At 39.5% G+C, this 18,114-nt stretch overlaps 1 long non-coding RNA gene across 1 annotated transcript, besides 1 other annotated feature; it reads left to right on the top strand.

The window, feature by feature from the left end:
• Window positions 4,169–5,569: an enhancer, noted in NCBI's record as "VISTA enhancer hs65". NCBI's record gives its function as "enhancer in: somite[6/8]" and the evidence as "EXISTENCE:transgenic organism evidence [ECO:0001131][PMID:17130149]".
• On the top strand, window positions 8,794–10,578 carry LOC124903765 (uncharacterized). The gene is made up of 2 exons (XR_007065187.1): window positions 8,794–8,860; window positions 9,950–10,578. It is a non-coding gene; the product is annotated as an uncharacterized LOC124903765 (long non-coding RNA).
• The last annotated feature ends 7,536 nt before the right edge of the window (window positions 10,579–18,114 follow it).

The raw sequence follows: 18,114 nt of genomic DNA, 5'->3' as shown, positions 1-18,114 counted from the left end.
GCCTAATATGTAAATTTTCCCACCCTCAAGAATAGAAGAAGACCCTGGACTTTGGGAAGGGAAGGTTGATGGGTGCTATGGCTTGGCTCTGTGTCCCCACCCCCCCAATCCCATGTCGAATTGTAATTCCTAATGTTAGGGGAGGGACCTGGTGGGGAGTGATTGGATCATGGGGGTGGATTTCCCCCTTGCTGTTCTTGTGATAATGAGTGAGTTCTCATGAGATCTGGTTGTTTGAAAGTGTGTAGCACCTTCCCTTTCACTCTCTCTCCTGCCACCATGTGAAGACGTGTTTGCCTCCCCTTCACCCTTCCACTGTGATTGTAAGTTTCCTGAGGCTTCCCAGCCATGCTTGCTATATAGCCTGCAGAACTGTGAGTCAATTAAACCTCTTTTCTTCATAAATTACCCAGTCTCAGGTAGTTCTTTATAGCACTATGAGAAAGGACTAATACAACAGGGAAGTAAGGAAGGAGAGAGGTTGTTGAGCTGGTGATTAAGTAGAACAGAGCAGAGTGCCATCCGGAGGCTCCCCAGGCACTGCATCTCAAGGAGCCCTTGTCTGTGGTTTACATTTGGAGGACAGATGAGATGTCTTCCTATCTGCAGAGTGCCCAGCCACTGCTGAGTTGGGCATAAGATCTCCTCCCTGATATCATCAGTGGCTGCCTTCTCAGTGGATGAATCCCTTTGACAGAGCCAGCATGTTGCTGACTGACAGGCTAGCAAGAGCTATAGTCATCTGTGCCCCATGACTGATCTCATCCAACCCATCCCATGTGGACATCCACCATTTCAATGTCATTGGACACTTGAGTACACCTGAGGCAGAAGGCATGTGCCCTGTGCATCCAGAGAGTGTGGTGGTGTTTTAAAGAAACCCCTCCAGCATCAATACATGGCTAGGATCAGTTAAACCATCTCAAAGATCTCACCTATCCTCAGAGCCAAGAAAATGGTCAATAAACCTGTGCGATATATATGTAATGGGAAATAAGGCCATGAAGTTTTGTGCCACGTCAGATACAACTTTTTACTATATTTGCATGTAAACGTGTGATTACAAATGCTGAGAGTAATGAAAAAAAAGAAAAGAAAATTCAAAATGAAAAAACTTCTTCATTCTTATTCATGTATGCATTTAAGGACTGGTTGATATATTATCCATTGGCTGCAAATCTGAAAAGGAGAGCCACTATTTGATGGTAGTGGCAAAAGCTATAGTCTGGTTTGTGGAGCGTCAGTTTCCAGGTGGTTGTGCTATAAGAATGGCTGCGTTTTCTATGGAGTAATATCCATTCTGCTCACATGGCAGATACCTGACACTGTCTAGTGCTTATAAGGGTGACCAAAGGAAGGAGTGAGCCACAGTAGCTACAGTAGGGTTACTTTCACGGTGGCTATGTGAGGCACCTTTAAAGCTAGAGGAAATACACCGTGTCCTAATTACCCTGTTTTCCTTAAGTGTGATTCACAATCCATGAAGCCAACCTGTCATTTTACTGCTTCTCTCTGATTCAGCCAAAGCCTAAAGATTTTAAAATCTTGAGACATCTTGGAGTAATGTGGTGGCCAAACTTCTGCTGTAACAACCACATCTTTTGTCCTCTCTGCTATTCTGAAATCTGAATTCAACCCTCTGTCAGCAATGTTCTTGTTCAGGCCCTATTGATCTGGAGATGGGTGAACTCATTTTTCTTTTCAAGGTATGAAAATGAACTGGGTCCAGGCACTTAACTCCACGGTAAGGGGCTGTCGACTCCCAGCTCCCCTTTGCAAACCGTGTCTAATTAACATGGAGACTACCTTCTTTGATGAGTTCATAAGTGTTTCACACACAGGCAAGATGTAACAACTTTGCAAGACACTGTTTAAAGATCTTCAACATCTGAGAAAGCCACAAAATCCAATAATCCTACTTTCAGAATGCCAGGGTGTCCACGGAGATCAATCTCATATCTAAACATCACATAAAGAGAGTGCATTGCACTATAGACTGGTTTCTATTGAACACCACCTAAGAAACAGCATTAGACAGTTTTGAAAAAAAAAAAAAGATGGAGCCTATACTAGAGGGAATGGAAAAGGTTGTCAAATTCTGGAAAATTTTCCCGTTGATTAAAGCTGCACTTTCAAAATTGTTACATTATTAACAGAAGTCGGCTTAGCTCCAATTTATCTTTCTGACAGTTTCCTGATGGATTAGATGTTGGGAATAAACTGGAGAGGCTTTTATGTGCTTCTTTGGGCACAGACAAAGCTGCTATTAATTCTTCCCTTGGTAACTGCAGTAATACCTATGCAATATCCTTCTGAGTGGGGTAATTCGTGTTGGAGATTGTGGTTTCCTGGGGCACCTAGAGCTGTGCCTATTCTTGCGTGTGTCCCTCAATGCAAAATGTATTTGGTATGTTTTATGAAACAGAATCCAAACACCAGAAAAGAGGGCAGTGCAATGAGACATGCTCTGGATGTCAAATACATATAATTTGCGGTGGGGTGGAGTTGGGCGGGGGGGCGTTGGTGTGAACAAGTGTTCCGGTTATGGAGAAATAATGAAGTCGAATTTTTCTGGTCTCAAATAAGTCTAGAGGGAGAGCTGCAAAAACTTTCTTCTGCTGAAACTGACAAGAGTTTCTTTGGCAAAGTGCTAAAGCAGTATCCCTTCTCTCTTTAAATCTACTAGCATTAAAAAATGATTTCCATTTTTCTTTTTTCTTTTCTTTTTTTTGAGATGACATCTCAGGCTAGAGTGCAATGGTACGATCTCTGCTCATTGTAACTTCTGCTTCCTGATTTCAAGTGATTCTCCTGCCTCAGTCTCCCAAGTAGCTGAAGTAGCTGGAATTACAGGCACCCACCATCATGCCCAGTTAATTTTTGTATTTTTGTAAAGACAGGGTTTCACCATGTTGGCCAGGTTGGTCTTGAACTCCTGACCTCATATGATCCGCCGGCATCGGCCTCCCAAAGTGCTGGAATTACAGGTGTGAGCCACAGCACCCAGCCTCCATTTTTCTGTAGGATAAGAAATAGATTTGCTTGGCTCCACAAATTTTATTTAATTTTCCCAGTATGTTAAATCATCATTAGTGTTTCTACACCTATGCTCCATGAAACACTAAATCCATGAATATGGGAAGGAAATATTACTCTGTTTAGTAAAGCTCGAGACGTGCTGGTGGAACAAATTTATAAAGATTTCTTTACTGAAGGACTTTTCAGAGTTGTGAATATGCTAAGGTGCCCTGTGAATTTCCAAGGGGTTGGAGAGTGAAGCTAATGTTGCATTTCCTAAACATAATTGATTATAAAAATCTTTATTGACAAACCACCTCTCTCTCAACTACCTTTTTCGGAATAAGGTTTTTGCTTTGTTTTGTTTTCTTTTGTTTTGTTGGCAGGGTCTCACTCTGTCATCCAGGCTGGAGTTCAGTGGTGCAATCATGGCTCACTGCAGCCTTGACCTCCCAGGCTCAGGTGATCCTCCCACGTCAGTCTCCTGAGTAGCTGAGACTGCAGGTGTGTGCCACCATGTCCAGCTAGGGAATATGCTTTTGAAAACACTGCTCTGGGTACACATTTCATTTTATTCGCATCTTTCAGTTTAGCATGGGAAGAAGAGGTCTAAAAGAAAGGGAAAGTCCAGCCGGGCGTGGTGGCGGGAGCCTGTAGTCCCAGCTACTCGGGAGGCTGAGGCAAGAGAACGGCATGAACCCGGGGGGCGGAGCTTGCAGCGAGCAGAGATCGCGCCACTGCACTCCAGCCTGGGCAACAGAGCGAGACTCCGTCTCAAAAAAAAAAAAAAAAAAAAAAAAGAAAGGGAAAGTCAGGTGGGTACATTTTTAAATACTGTCCTACATCTCCTTTGGACTCTCCCAAAACTGTCTTTTCAAAACTGCAACAATTGCCTACATCTCTAATTTGAAGGTAGTTTTTAGTCATTTGGCTAATGTCAGGAATCTGAATGTTACCGTGTTCTCTAAGGATTCACATTATCTTTCCTCAGTTTCCCCACATGTCAAGTGGTGATAATCTGAGCTGTCACAGATACAAACCAAACAGGAGCTTGGAATTTAAGGATATTTCTTTGATTACCTCTAAGTTCTTAATGTTTGTGCAGTTCTTATGCACTTGAGAAAATCTAACACAAGAAGTCTTGTCTATCTCCATCTCATGCTAGACATCTGGACTTCAGTTAAAAAAAATCCTATTAGTGTCACAGAAACTTTCCATACTAAGTGTGTCAAATCTATTCACTTTCCAGTGTTTATCTAATTGCTTGTAATGTTTCTCTGAATATCTTAAAATATCCCTTTCATCCAGTGAAAGTCCAATGTAGATGCCTATAGAGCTTGGTTTCCAGTACTTTAGTCTATATTATGATTACTATTATAATTTGATCTGACTTAACCCACCCTCACTCTCACAAGGATTTTAATTTCAAATTTTTGATTGGTAAAATATGGGCCAGTGCCCTTGGGACAAGCAAAGATGGAAGATTTTGGACAAAAATAGGTTAGAGGAGAGCTAAAATCAGAAAACCCCAATGTGAGAATGCTAACATGTCCTCACATTATACCCTGTGACCTCTTTTTATTTTGTACTAGTTCCAACTTAAGTAAATTCCATGGTGTTCAGTTGGTGAGACACTAACTCTTTTATGGCAAAATGAATTAGTGTGTTATTTATATATTTTAAACTTAGTTAGGCACTCCCTTAAGGCTCACGGCCAAGCCAATAAAGTTATGTTTGAAGATGGAGTTTGAAATTCTATTTTCATTCATTTTAATGGTTTACAAGTAAATTGTATTTTCTACTTCATTCTGTGACATAAGTCAATAGGTATCCAATGTAAATGTAGTTCATTTATATTTGAATTGATGTTCTGTCCGCCATTACCTTATGTTTCTAATGCATTCTGATACATTAGTAAATAGGCTTGTCTGATTAATCATTAGCACATGAAAAGAATTAGCTGCTGGCTGCCAAATGGAATTATTGACACTGATAAGAGGACCAACAATGGTATCACCTGGAAATGGATTGTGCAAGTAATTGAAGGAAAAAAAAAAGTGCCTTGATAAATATGAAGAACCTTGAATGTATTTTATTAATTCCATATATTATAGATATTTTATACTTTTATTGAAAATAATAATTTTGTACACTTTAAATTGGTGAAAGAAGGTCTTTATTTACTTTACAAACTTAGTTGCTGAAAATCTAAACACAATTTTTAATCTAGGGAAAACATTTCTTCACAGCTACCAATGGAGAACTAGAGAAGCTTTAGATTTCAAGAAGAAAGTAGAGCACAAAAGAGGCTCTGAAAGGAGTCACAGCTGAAGTTTAGTCCTGTTGAACCTGAGTATTTACGTTCAGGTGATCTATCTCATTGCAGTTTTGGCCACAGACACTTGTACAGGTTTGAGCACATGGACACAGATTCACACAGTGTGCACACACACACACACATACACACACAGAGGATGGCACAGATTCACATTTTTGAAAAACCTCACACTGCCTACATTATCAATTTATCAACCCCTAGTGCCATACTTGGGCAAATAGGAAGAGACTCAAAGTCTGTGTAATGTACTACAACTCCAGCAAGTCCCAGGGATAAGTCAGCATGACATACCTAAAAGAGTCACAGCCCCAACATTTTGAAAATGCTCGTGTAATTTTGCTTTGTTATTGTCTGAGCCATTAGATTTAAAAGCCCTTCTGTGTGATTGCCAAGTACATTAATGTGAACCAATGATAAAAGTCTAGCTGCTTGAGCAGCCAAAACCTGTGCAGTGTCTTAAGGCAGCACAGCAGTGTGGTAGCATATGGCAGAGCCACTATTGCTGGGACTTGTTTTATTCCCGGCTTTAAAGTGGCACAGAGTATGGTGCCAATGAAGTGCTACTGTGGACCCCTTTGTTCAAGCTGGACCTGGAGCTGAAGTGTTGGTTGCTTTAGAAGTATGGCTGAGGCACATGCCTTGGCGGCATGTTCCACTTAGGAGATTTTCCTATAGAGCAAGGACTCCAATCAACCATGAGTCGGGAACCTAAATGCTAGCGTGCTCTTTAAGGATTCACATTCTCTTTCCTCAATTTCCCCACATGTCAAGTGGTGATAATAATTGCTGTCTTTCCTATCTCCTAGACTGCTTGAATTCTATACAAAATGATGCTTATGAAAGCATTAAGAAAGAGATTTTTAAATGAAAGATTGTAGAGGTCCTGTTTTTATTGTAGTATGTCTTCTGTCTTCAAAATTGGAAGCTACTGGAAGAGGCATATGATAGCTTCACTTCCAGGCAGCACTGGACTGGGCAAATGTTTATTGAATTTTAAGTTAACACAAATAAAAAGCTGCACATTTGGCCATAAAAAAAAGGATGAGTTCATGTCCTTTGCAGGGACATGGGTGAAACTGGAAACATCATTCTCAGCAAACTAACACAGGAACAGAAAACCAAACACCGCATGTTCTCACTCATAAGTGGGAGCTGAACAATGAGAACACATGGACACAGGGATGGGAACATCACACACTGGGGCCTGTCAGAGGGTGGGGGGCTAGGAGAGGGATAGCATTAGCAGAAATACCTAACGTAGATGACTGGTTGATGGGTTCAGCAAACCACCATGGCACATGTATACCTATGTAACAAACCTGCATGTTCTGCACATGTATTCCAGAACTTGAAGTATGTAAAAAAAAAAAAAAAAAAAAGCTGCATATTTGCTTTTCTCACTTCAAGCTTGGAGAAAAAGCTTCTCTCTCTCTCTCTCTCTCTCTCTCTCTCTCTTTTATCCAGGCTGGAATGTAGTGCTGCAATCATGGCTCATTGCAGTCTCAACATCCTGGGCTCAAGCCATTCTCCTGCCTTCCCAGTAGCTGGGACTACAGACATGCACCACCACATCCAGCTAATTTTTTAAATATTTTTTGTAGAAATGGGGTGCTATGTTTCCCAGTCTGGTCTCAAACTCCTGGTCTCAAGCAATCCTCCAGCCTCAGCCTCCCAAAGTGCTGGAATTACAGGCATGAGCACACTTGGCCTTTCTCTTACGTTTAATGACACCTTCAAGACTCACATTCTATACATTCATTTAGACTACCCACTGGATAACGCATGGATTCCTTTTGAGGTTCATGATGTATCAGCAGGTTCCACAATGAGAGGACATGTGTAGGTCTTGAGTAATACATGCTTTCTTTGATCTTGGTTCTAGTGGGAGGCTTTTTCTAGTGTCCTGATAGAACAAGTTTCCCAGGCTTTGGTGAAGAAAATAGGACGGGCCTCCAGGCAGGGACATGAAAGTGCCTGACTCATTGAGGAAGGCTGTGTTGCACAAAGAGCAATCTAGAGCATTGTCAAGTAACAATGAGGGAAAGGGTAGTTATGGCACAGGCTCAGGAGTCCAGTTGCTCATGTTTTCATCCTGACTTCTCACTCATATTCTTTCTCATAGTATTGTTCACATATCTCTGCCTCAGTTTCCTCATTTACAAAATGGGGGTAATAATACCACCCAACTCGAGCAATTGTTGAGAAGAGGAAAGGAGTAAAACACATAAATCATTGAGTGTCATGTGTAGTTCATAGTGAGCGTTCAAAAAACCTTTTGAAGAAAATCTTGCTAGTGTTTATATTGCTGAAGATGAAGATGATGGAGATGGTGATGGAGATGGTGCAGAAGTAGTAGGAGATGGATTTGATTCCTACAAGACAGAATGTGAGAAGTTTTGAAAACCATTCTTAGGTTTCCTTGGGTATTAATAATGTGATCCTCGAAGTGACTCGAGCCTATGATGTGATCAAAGAGCTCTTTCCCCAGACTACGCATTTGCCTCTTTCATTTTTTGTAGGGCTTTTCTGACTGGTTCAAAACAATATCACCATTGCCAAGAATAGTGCCTGGAGCCCAGCTGGCACTCCATAAATATTTATTAAACCTACGAATAACCCTTCTACTATCGAAAGTGAATTTTTTGCTTTTTCTATTTAGTTTGAGACATATTTGCCAGCTTCATTGCAATTAAATGAGTCCCTTTTTATTTCTTTTTCTTTTCCTTCACTTTTATTTATTTATTTATTTTTAAGATAGAGTCTAACTCTGTTGCCCAGGCTGGAGTGCAGTGGTGAAATCTTGGCTCACCACAACCTGCACCTCCTAGATTCAAGTGATTCTCCTGCCTCAGCCTCCAGAGTAGCTGGGAGATTACAAGCGCATGCCACCATGCCTTTCTAATTTTTGTATTTTTAGTAGAGATGGGGTTTCACCACGTTGGCCAGGCTGGTCTCGAACTCCTGACCTCAAGTGATCTGCCCACCTCAGCCTCCCAAAGGGCTGGGATTACAGGCGTGAGCCACCTCACCAGGCCTGTGTGCCCCTTTTTCTTTCACGTAAAATAAGAATAGTAGAGGACTGTTTTTCTCTTAATAATATAGACGCCATTTTTTTGAGCATTTCAACACCAGGACCTATGGATACTGTTCACCATCTCTACCACGCAACACATTTGGTGATCCATGAGGGTCACCTGTCATTGAAACTGTCATTCAGAAAGCACTCAATTGGAGCATAAGAATCTTCTTATACTTTTTTTCCCAACCTAGAGCCTCATGTAACATTGATTCATTTCCTACAACAGCATCCAGGAAGGTGGCAGCAAGCCATTCTCTGGGCAGGGGTAAGGAAGCCAGTAAGTGTGATATTTTATTAATTATTACAAAAATAAACTGCAGGGCTGAGACTCGCTACTGCAAAGCACATGTGTGAAAATCCCACTTTGTTGGTGAAGAAAAAAACTCCTTGTTAACTACAAAGCTCTTCTCTCAGCAACACATAAGGTAGGAGAAAAGAATAGCATGCAGACATTATCAGCATTTTAAACAAGTGAAAAAGTTTATCTCTAAAAGGTAATGCTGTAGATCATATTTCCTTTCATGGTAGTTTTATATTCTGCAGTCTGGTGCATTTTTCTTTCCGATATTTTTTTCCCCAAAAAGAATCTAGGAAATAGGTTGTCCATTGATTCATTCCTTGCAAGATGTTAGCTATTAATAACGCTCTCATTTCATAATTTTTTCCTCTTTTGAATGCATTCCAGATGTTCACCTTGCAATCATGAATTTTAAGTGCCCACTGTTTCAATCACTTTGTGTTCCAGGAACTTTAAACCCATTTGTAGCCCTATTTTGAGAAACTTAAATAGACTGTGAAAAGTTGAGAGAGATAGAGAGAGAGAGAGACAGAGAGAACAGATGCCTGTGATAGAACACATAGATGTGGGTATGAATACAGAAAGAGTCACATAATTTTGACTTCTGGTGTTCTACGTCTGTACGTCTTCATGTTTTTTAACAAATTGATTTTATTATTTTCTTAATAGACAATATTTCAAAGAAATTCATTGACAAAATGGATTTATTACATGGTAACATCAAGATAAATAGAACTTCAGTTTGTGATTCAGCCTGCTATTTTGAGAAAAAAATGGCAACTGAAGAAATTCTCAAATCAACCTGCCCTTTGTATTGCATAAACTGCTTTCAGTAAAATGTAACATAAAAATAGTTGTCACAGGGGAGATTATAAGAATAAAACATACTTCCTAAATGATGTGGATATTTTAGCTATTATGTGTTTATTAGGCAGAAACCAAGATAGAGTTTTAGATCAAGAAATGGTCTTAGGTTCTTGCGGTTTGATTCATGACAGTAAATTTATCTTTGAGAAAATTCTAGGGTTTATAGTATTGTTTATATGTTTCTGGTCCATTTTTGGGGAGTAACTTGCATGCTTAAGATAAGAAAAGCTTTGGTGCCCCTACATCAATTCATTGTATCAATTAGTGTAAGGTTTTGCTGCTGTAACAGAGACCCAACGTGGCAAGAAACATTAAGAACAAATGAGTTTGTTTCTCTTTCATGGACCAGGCCCCATGTGATGAGACATCCTGGCTGGCAGGGCAGCCCAGCTCTACATAACTGTTCATGGATCCAGGTCGCTGATGAATCATTGTTCCTTTACGTCCAGGCATTGTTATCACGGCATGATTGAAGCTGGTTGCTACAATACTCAGATTCCAGCCAGTGAGAAGAAGAAAGTATGGAGGAAGCAAATCAATATCTCAAGAACCAGACACATGACTTACTGTCACATTCTACAGGTGAGAACCTTGTCACCTGGCCATTCAACTGCAAGGGGGCTGGAAAATGAGGTGTAGCTGAGCAGATGGGAGCCCAGAAGCAATTCCATTCATGTGAAGGGAGGCCAGTACAGATTGGAAGTGACTCTAGAGGTCTCCATCACAGCCACTGCTTCCCTGCCATGCGCAAGACCTGTATGCTCATGTGCCACCCCCTGGCCCAGTGCACAATGTTCCAGAACTTTCATCAGGCCTCACTATCATAGCCATTTCCCTCTTTTGGACTTTCCTTGCCCACACCCCAACCTCACAGGAATATAATCTCAAGATTACAGAATTTTCACATCAGCTTTCTTCATCTTTTTCAAGCCTGCAGGACAAAAACAAACCAATAAATACTGTACCAGTTCAACCTCATCTGTTTACCTTCTTTTTTCCAAATTAACCCAAATTTTCTCTTTTCTGTTTCTAATACATAACTCCAGAAGGTTGTCTTGAGATAAACAAATTAAGCAAACCTAAACAAAATATCAGTGGCTAAGTAAAAGTTCCATGTCTTCACGTTCCATGTCACCTTCATAGGAAAAACTTGGCAACATTTATTCTCTGGTCTTTGTGGTTTAATTTGAAGGAACAATATGAATTGTGTGAAAATATATATTGCTCATCTTCACCGTGTCAGCTCCTAAAATCTATATGAGTGTGCTCTCCTGTGGGAGATGGTGTAGTGGAAACAGTATGGGCTTTGCCCTCAGACTGTTCTGGGTTTGAGATTCATTGTCTGGGTGGCTATGTTACATTTCTTTGTCAAATCAATTCAGCCTCAGTTTCCTCATGTTTACAATGAAGGTAATACAATCTGTGTTATATAGTTATCGTGAGTATTAAAGGAGTTCATAAAGGTCAAGTCTCTGGCACATATTAGGGGCCCGGTAGGAGCCGCTGACATTATTATAAAAGCAGTGAGATTAGTAGCTTGAATCTCTAGGCCCTCTTTGCTGTTGGCTTGTTATTTTCATTTAGATGAAGCACTTAACCCCTCTAGGCTCAGTCTCCTCACCTGTAAATCAGGAATTATACTTATCTTACCTATGAAACAGTGCTGATGCAAGAAATGAGTAGGATAATGGATATGAGGGCACACGGGGGGAAAAAAGCAACAGATCATAAAAAGTGCTCTGCAAATACAAGGTGTTATCCTTCATCAGTGTTCCCAAATTGAGATGCTGCCTCAAACTCAGGGATGATATGCTTCAAACTAAGGTTTGAAACTAAGGGATTTTAAACTAAGGGTTTCAAACTAAAGGATTTTACTCTTCCAAATATACAGCTGGACCTGGTGTGTCCTACAGAATCTACAGAATATGAAAGATCATCCAGGTAACTATTACCACATCAGTTTCATCCCAAACTTTGTCACCTAAAGAAATAAGTGAAAGAATTTCTTTCACAGTTGGGGTCATACTCATTTAATAATTTCAGCCCTTAATTTTCTCCAGCAGAAACCCACTCCATTAAATGAAAATCCTGGAGCAATCAGAAGGAAATTAAGAAAAGGTTGAGAGCAGCTGGGCACTGTTAAAAAAATACTTTAAAGTTGTCCTCTAGTTTCCTGTTGGTGCCATGAGCGTACAGTCAATTGGGAGTATTATGGACAAGACTCTGGGTATGTGTTTTTTGTTGCTGTTGTTTTTATATCCTGCCATTGGCTTTGGCACCTGAATATTGACACATCAGCTTATATATTATAAATGTTTTTAAGTATATCTTATATTTTGATGTTTGTTTTTTATTTGAGATTATAAAAGTGTTAATTACAGAAAATTCTGAAAATTCAGGAAGTTACCCAAAAGCAATTTTCTTAAACACCTGTAACAATTAAAACCTTGTTTTATTTCTTTCCAGATGTGTATATGGCATCTCTAAGGTTGTGAGCTGAAAGTGTAGAAGCAGGGAGGAAAGGCATTAGGGCTTGAGGTTAGAGAAATACTTTTGGATTTCCACTTTGTAGGGACAGGGATTGGGCTGGGTATTTGTACAGTTGCTGTGGCAATGTCTGGCTACAATGTCGAGGAAGCAGAGGGACAGAATCATCTGTGTGGGGCAGTTGTCTGTGTGTGGTGGTGGTGGTACTTCTGTCCTTCCATTTTCTAGCCACAAATAGGTTTCCAGCCTGTCCTGCCCCTGAGCCACTCTACAGTTTCCTCTCTGAGGCTGAATTCTAGAACTCCCTGTTACTCTATTAGGAGAGACCCATGCTAAGGAAAAAAATTATAACATAAATATACAATATACAATTTCAACTGTAGTCAAGTGCTATGAAGAGGATTTTGATCTGGTCTTATGGAAAATAGATGTTACCTAGGTCCAGGGGTGTGAGTAGGAAGGGCATTTTAGGCAGGGAGCATAGCATGGGCAAAGGCTCGGTAGCAGCAAGAAGAAGGAGGACATTCTGTTGTCTGGAAGAAGGCCTGGTTGGGTAGACACACAAGAATAGCATGGCTGGCATACAAGATAGGGCATGGATTCAGGCTAAGGATTACCATATTTAGCTGAAGAGCAGAAAAAACTAGTGTATTTGTAAATTCGTGTTCTGAAGGCAGCATAGTAAATGGAGGGCCTAAAGTTTTCATGCTGGGTACAATAAAAGGAAAATGGCATTGCCCAAGTAAAACACGAGCTTAGACTAGGATGTGGTGGTAAAGCTGGAAAGTAAAGTGGGGAGAGGGATACATTGGCTTCAGAGAGATGTTCAACAGGTTTATCAAAAACCTTGCTATACAGTCAACAGGTATGCTTAGAACATAATGCAGAGAATGTTTCTCTATCAGCCACTATGTCACAGGAAGAAAGCTACCATGTTGAATGGACAAGTGGACAGTTTTCATATTGATTCCCATTTCAAGGATGGAAGCATGTCCAAAAATTATCCAGTTACCAGGGAAGATGGCTTTTTTTCTTTTGCCCAAACACACCCAAATATAGTTCTCCTATGTCAATAAGAGAACTAAGTAACTGCCATACTTTCATCCTCTAAATCTCTAAATATTTCTTCTAGAGTGGAGAATTTATGTAGCTCCTGAAAGGTGCTTCCTGAATAGAGACATAAGAACCTCCTGACCATGGCAAAAACTATTTCATGGCCCCACCATAGTTGTCATTTTACTATGTTTTACCTGGCTTAGTGGAGGAGTTGTAAATGCTCTTTATGATGTAGAACTAAGCCCTAAAATTGAACTCTGGGCATAGACATCTGGCTTATACTTTTAAAGCAGCCCAAATGCTTAAAATAAAAAGTAAAATTTCTGCGTGTTTTATGAGATAGGGTCACAAGATAAAGTCAGAGGGTGACCGGATGTCAACTCTTCACTGATCCCCTCCCGAAAAGCAAAATATATGTTTCCAAGCAAGTCTAGCCCTGTGTATATTTTCTTTATTCCCATAGTTCATTATGTACACTGCAGTAATTTGTTGACAGTACAAGGCAAATCCGTGATAAAACTGGAGAATGTCTCCAAAGTAAATATTTGGTGCTACAAAATAGGGGCTTTTTGCACATTAATCCAATAATAAAATACCGTCTGCAAGATGAACAAGGACTATTTGCTAATTTCCAAAATTGCAGTAGGTCACAGAAACTTCTAAATGATTTGATAAATATTTTCTTTATGGAGAAGTAATATTCCTAGTCAGAAGGCCAAGCTCCTTAATGCTGTGGGAAGCTGCAGCGGCTCCCAGATGCCATGCACTGGTGGAGGGGGTTGAAAAGGAAATGAGAATTCAGCTCACTTCAATCAATGCCCTCTGATCTTTGATGGCAATATAGGAGACACAGCTAGGAGGACAGATGCAAATGAACTATGAGAAGCTAAAGCTCTGCTCAAATTATAAGAGTCTGTTGCAATAGGTGGCCTACTGTCTCATCTACCCCTACATTACCAACGTTTGTAGACCTTGACTTTGCCCTGGAAGCAGCTCAGGAAACAGAATGTTCAAAAGCCAGGGATTGATGGATGTGGGTGCGCTCAGTATTAAGTAGGGAAGATGTGCATATATATTACTAATTGCGTGACAGTGAAAAGCTGCACTTGAGGGTGCTGATATGAAGAGGTGAGCATGAATCGGGTGCTTGCTCTACCATGGTGCTCCAGAGGAAGTGATGGACTCAGGAAGATGGGGGAAAGTCAGGGGGCACTTCTCAGAAAGGGCAACATTTTAAGTTTGGAAACAGGAGTAGGGATATGCTAAGAGAACAAATTTATTCATGAAACAAAAAAAACATGCAAATAAATGATATCAGCCAACTTATACTTACAACTCTATCACAGCTGAGGCACAGAAGGAAGATAGTATTAAATATATTAGGTACTATTTTGTAGACACTATGTCCTAGGCACTATGCTATGTACTTTCCATATATTGTTTTGATTAATACTACCTACAAGACTGTGGGGTAGACTGGATTATTCCCTGGTGTTAATGAAGAAGCTAAGGACTAGATAATTAAGCAACTCTTCCAATCAACACAGCTTGGTAGGTAGAAAATATGAACCTACACCACCTAGATGAAAAGACATTTGCTCTAACCCAGTACTCTACTGCCACTCAAGCTGGTTGACACACATAATATAAGGCTGAAGATAAAGGAAGTTGCACAGATTTCTCCACTGAAAAGGCTTCAAAAACCAGGAAACATAAAAACAAAATTAACACTGGACCACAGGAAGTCCATGACCCTCGGTGACCCCCTCTACAAAGCTGCCATGTTGCTGTAGAAGACGTCGGTTCTCTAACTGTGGGATTCACAAAGGTAGTTTGAAAACTAGTGATTGAGCAAGGACAATTCCAAGGGGCTCATTTAGAATGAGTTGAGGATATATTTAGGTCAGATTTCACTCTTGTTAATGGCATGTATTTTTTTCCATCTTCTAACTTCCTGCCTAGCTCTATATAGCTCCACTTCAGTGGGCGTCTCAGTAGGGGAAAATCCATTAACCTGCTTGACTAGCATCATGTCGACAAAGGCAAAATAGACCTCAGCTCTGAGAGACTCAGAGAGTCCAGACTGAAATATAGGCAAATAAAAGTGAGCCCATTTAGCTCCAATGGAGCCTCCAGGTCACCTTTCTTTTAATTCCTTGGATCTCTTTTTCAGAGGAGATTTTTAACTAAGTTTCTCACCTGTGTTGCCTGGGTGCCTTTGTATTAGGACAGAATTAACTGCAAGAAAAATTGAGGTTTGACAATAGAAGGCCAGATGCCACACCTTGTAAATAAATAATAATAAAAAAACATGCAATGCAGCCAGCTGCACCATATAAACTCAGGTTTTTATACCACACTGTTGTGTTCTCTATATCCTCATTTGGTTCCAACATCTGTTCATCCCTGTCTGTTCCTCCCATATATTAGTTGTAATTACATACACAAGAGCTTGCTTATGAGGCTGAAAAATTGACCCGATAGCAGAAGGCTTTGGTGGGTCTCTCACTTTCTCCGTTAAAGACACTGGTGTTTCATTTTTAAGGATCAGTCTTCAGGTGACTTACTCTGGAGCACAAGACTAAACCCAGACTTGTTTATCACCCTCCTGAAGTGGAGAAATGCGTTTTACTTTCTTTCACTCCTAATTCCCTAAAGCAACCTGCTATCTCCTGGCCCTCTATCTCTGCCCAGTTCATTCCTTAGGGATGCTCTATGAAAGTGTAACCAGTTCCTCTTTCTCTCCAGATCACCCAGCTGAAAGCGATCTTTCTTTTCTTCAAATTTCCATTGAAATTCCTATCTTTGATGCTTACTAAATATTTAATTCTAAATATAGTATTTGAATATAGCAAAATGTGGTGTAGGAAACAATAGACTTTAAAAAATAAAAAGAATGGCAGCTGTCATCTTACGGCTACATATAGTCTAAAGATTATACACACATCTGTGTTGCTGGTTTTCACTGGTAAGCCCAAGGTGGGTAACACATAGCACTTCCCTTTTTAGACAGATCATGTGATTTGCACTTTGACAGTCCTTACCAGGCATACTTCTCTCATTTATTTTACTTGCCTAATCTCTGTAGAAATTTGAGTTTGTAATACCTGCAATAAGATTACAAGTTTTTATGGTATATGATTATTATTACAACCACCTTCCTTTCAGAACAGCTTGTATCACATCAATCCTCCCACTGGAAAAATTAGAAAAGCTGGATAAAATTTTAGAAATCCATCTGAAGACATTGGAGAGCTGTGGCAATCAAAATTTAAAGAACCATGTTCTTGCAGAAAGAAGAAATGCATTGTGTTAAACCTGAAAGTCTGTAGCACTTTTCTACTTGAGGCTGGCTCATAAGCAGCAAAGGGTGGGAGAATATAAAACTAAGTAAAATATATCAGCTACAAGAAGAAACTGAGGAGTTTTGGCTTGGGGAGATGAAAATTGGAATTTGGAGCTTGAATGGTAGCCAGGCTTTGAGAGGGGAAAATCCTACAGACAAGAGAAGCATAGAGAGATCAGTTCAGCATTACACATAACTTTTTCAGGTAAGTCATTTGGCAATTCATAAGCAGCAGCCCAGAGGCTGAGACACTGCTGAGAGCTTTTGACAGTCTCATGGTGCTGGGAAGAAAAAAAAAAAAAAAACTGTAGCCTAGGGCCTGCCAAGGAAAGAAGGGTTTGTGGCAACTATTTCTGGCTTTCTAGGGGCACCACTGAATAGCCATGTCTTGGGAGTAAGGGAAATTCAGAAGTAGACTCAGTTTTACATATGCTTCATTCTAGACTGAACTAAGATGATTTATCCCTCCTCTAACTGCCTGACAGGCAAAATAGAACATCTTTAGATATAGACACTATCACCTAGAGCCACCACAGATTCCTTACACAGTAACTGCAACTCAATAAAATATTGCCAGACTACAAAGACACAGAACTAAATAAAGAAAGGTCAAGAGGAAAAAAAAATGGAAATAAAACAGAAGTGTAGGCAATCCAGACATAGGTATATGCAGATGCAGACTAAGATTATTGTGATTAATAAGTTCAGTCAATTAGATAACAAGATGAAGAATATCATTAGAGAATTGAAAGTATAAAAATAATCAAATAGAAATTATATTACTGAAAAATAATTGAAATTAAGACCTCAACAGACAGGTTAAATGGAAAATAAAACATGTTAGGAAAAGAATTAGTCAAATAGAAAACAAGTCAATAGAAAATATTGACTGAAGCACAGAAAGGAAGAAAAATGGGGAACACATACAAAGTTTAACATAATGTAACTGGAGTGTTAATGAATAGGAGAGAAAGAATTAAGCAACAAAAATATTAAATAGATAGTAATCAAGAATTTTAGAAGTCATTATGCTACAAATTACTTAAGTTCTATAAGCCCAAACGAGGTAAGTAAAAAATAGGAATTTTTTTTTAAAACTACGTACCTAGGCACACAATAAAAAACTTCTAAAAAACAAAAACAAAGAGAAACGAAAAATCAGATAGTCATGGAAAAGAAGTAGGGATGACGAAAGACACTTTACCTGGAGATAAACAACAAGACTGACAGAACATTTTCAACAAAAACGATGGAAAAACATCAAAAAGGCATGTTTTAAAGTGCTAAAAAAAAACCCTCTCAACTTAGAATTCTATATCAAGTGAAAATATCCTCCAAAAATGAAGGTTAAAAAAAGTATTTCAACACAAACACAATATGAAATAATTTGTCAGCAGAGGATTTGTCCTAAAAGAAATAAGGTGGCGGTCAGGATTGGGGGAGCTGCTAGATTATTCAGTCAGATAGGAACATAAAAATGAAGGAAAGCCTAAGAAACAAAAAAGATATATATATGTGGGTCAATCTAAATATTATCTACGCAAAACAATACCTTATGGGGTTTAAAATATAGGTTAACAGTGTATTGTTATTATATAGAAGTGATGAGATCAAATACAATTAAA

The sequence above is a fragment of the Homo sapiens genome, chromosome 16, assembly GCF_000001405.40.
Source record: "Homo sapiens chromosome 16, GRCh38.p14 Primary Assembly".
NCBI classification, from domain to species: Eukaryota; Metazoa; Chordata; class Mammalia; order Primates; family Hominidae; genus Homo; species Homo sapiens.
Note: the sequence above shows the minus strand (reverse complement) of the source record. Positions and strands in the feature narration are given on the sequence as shown.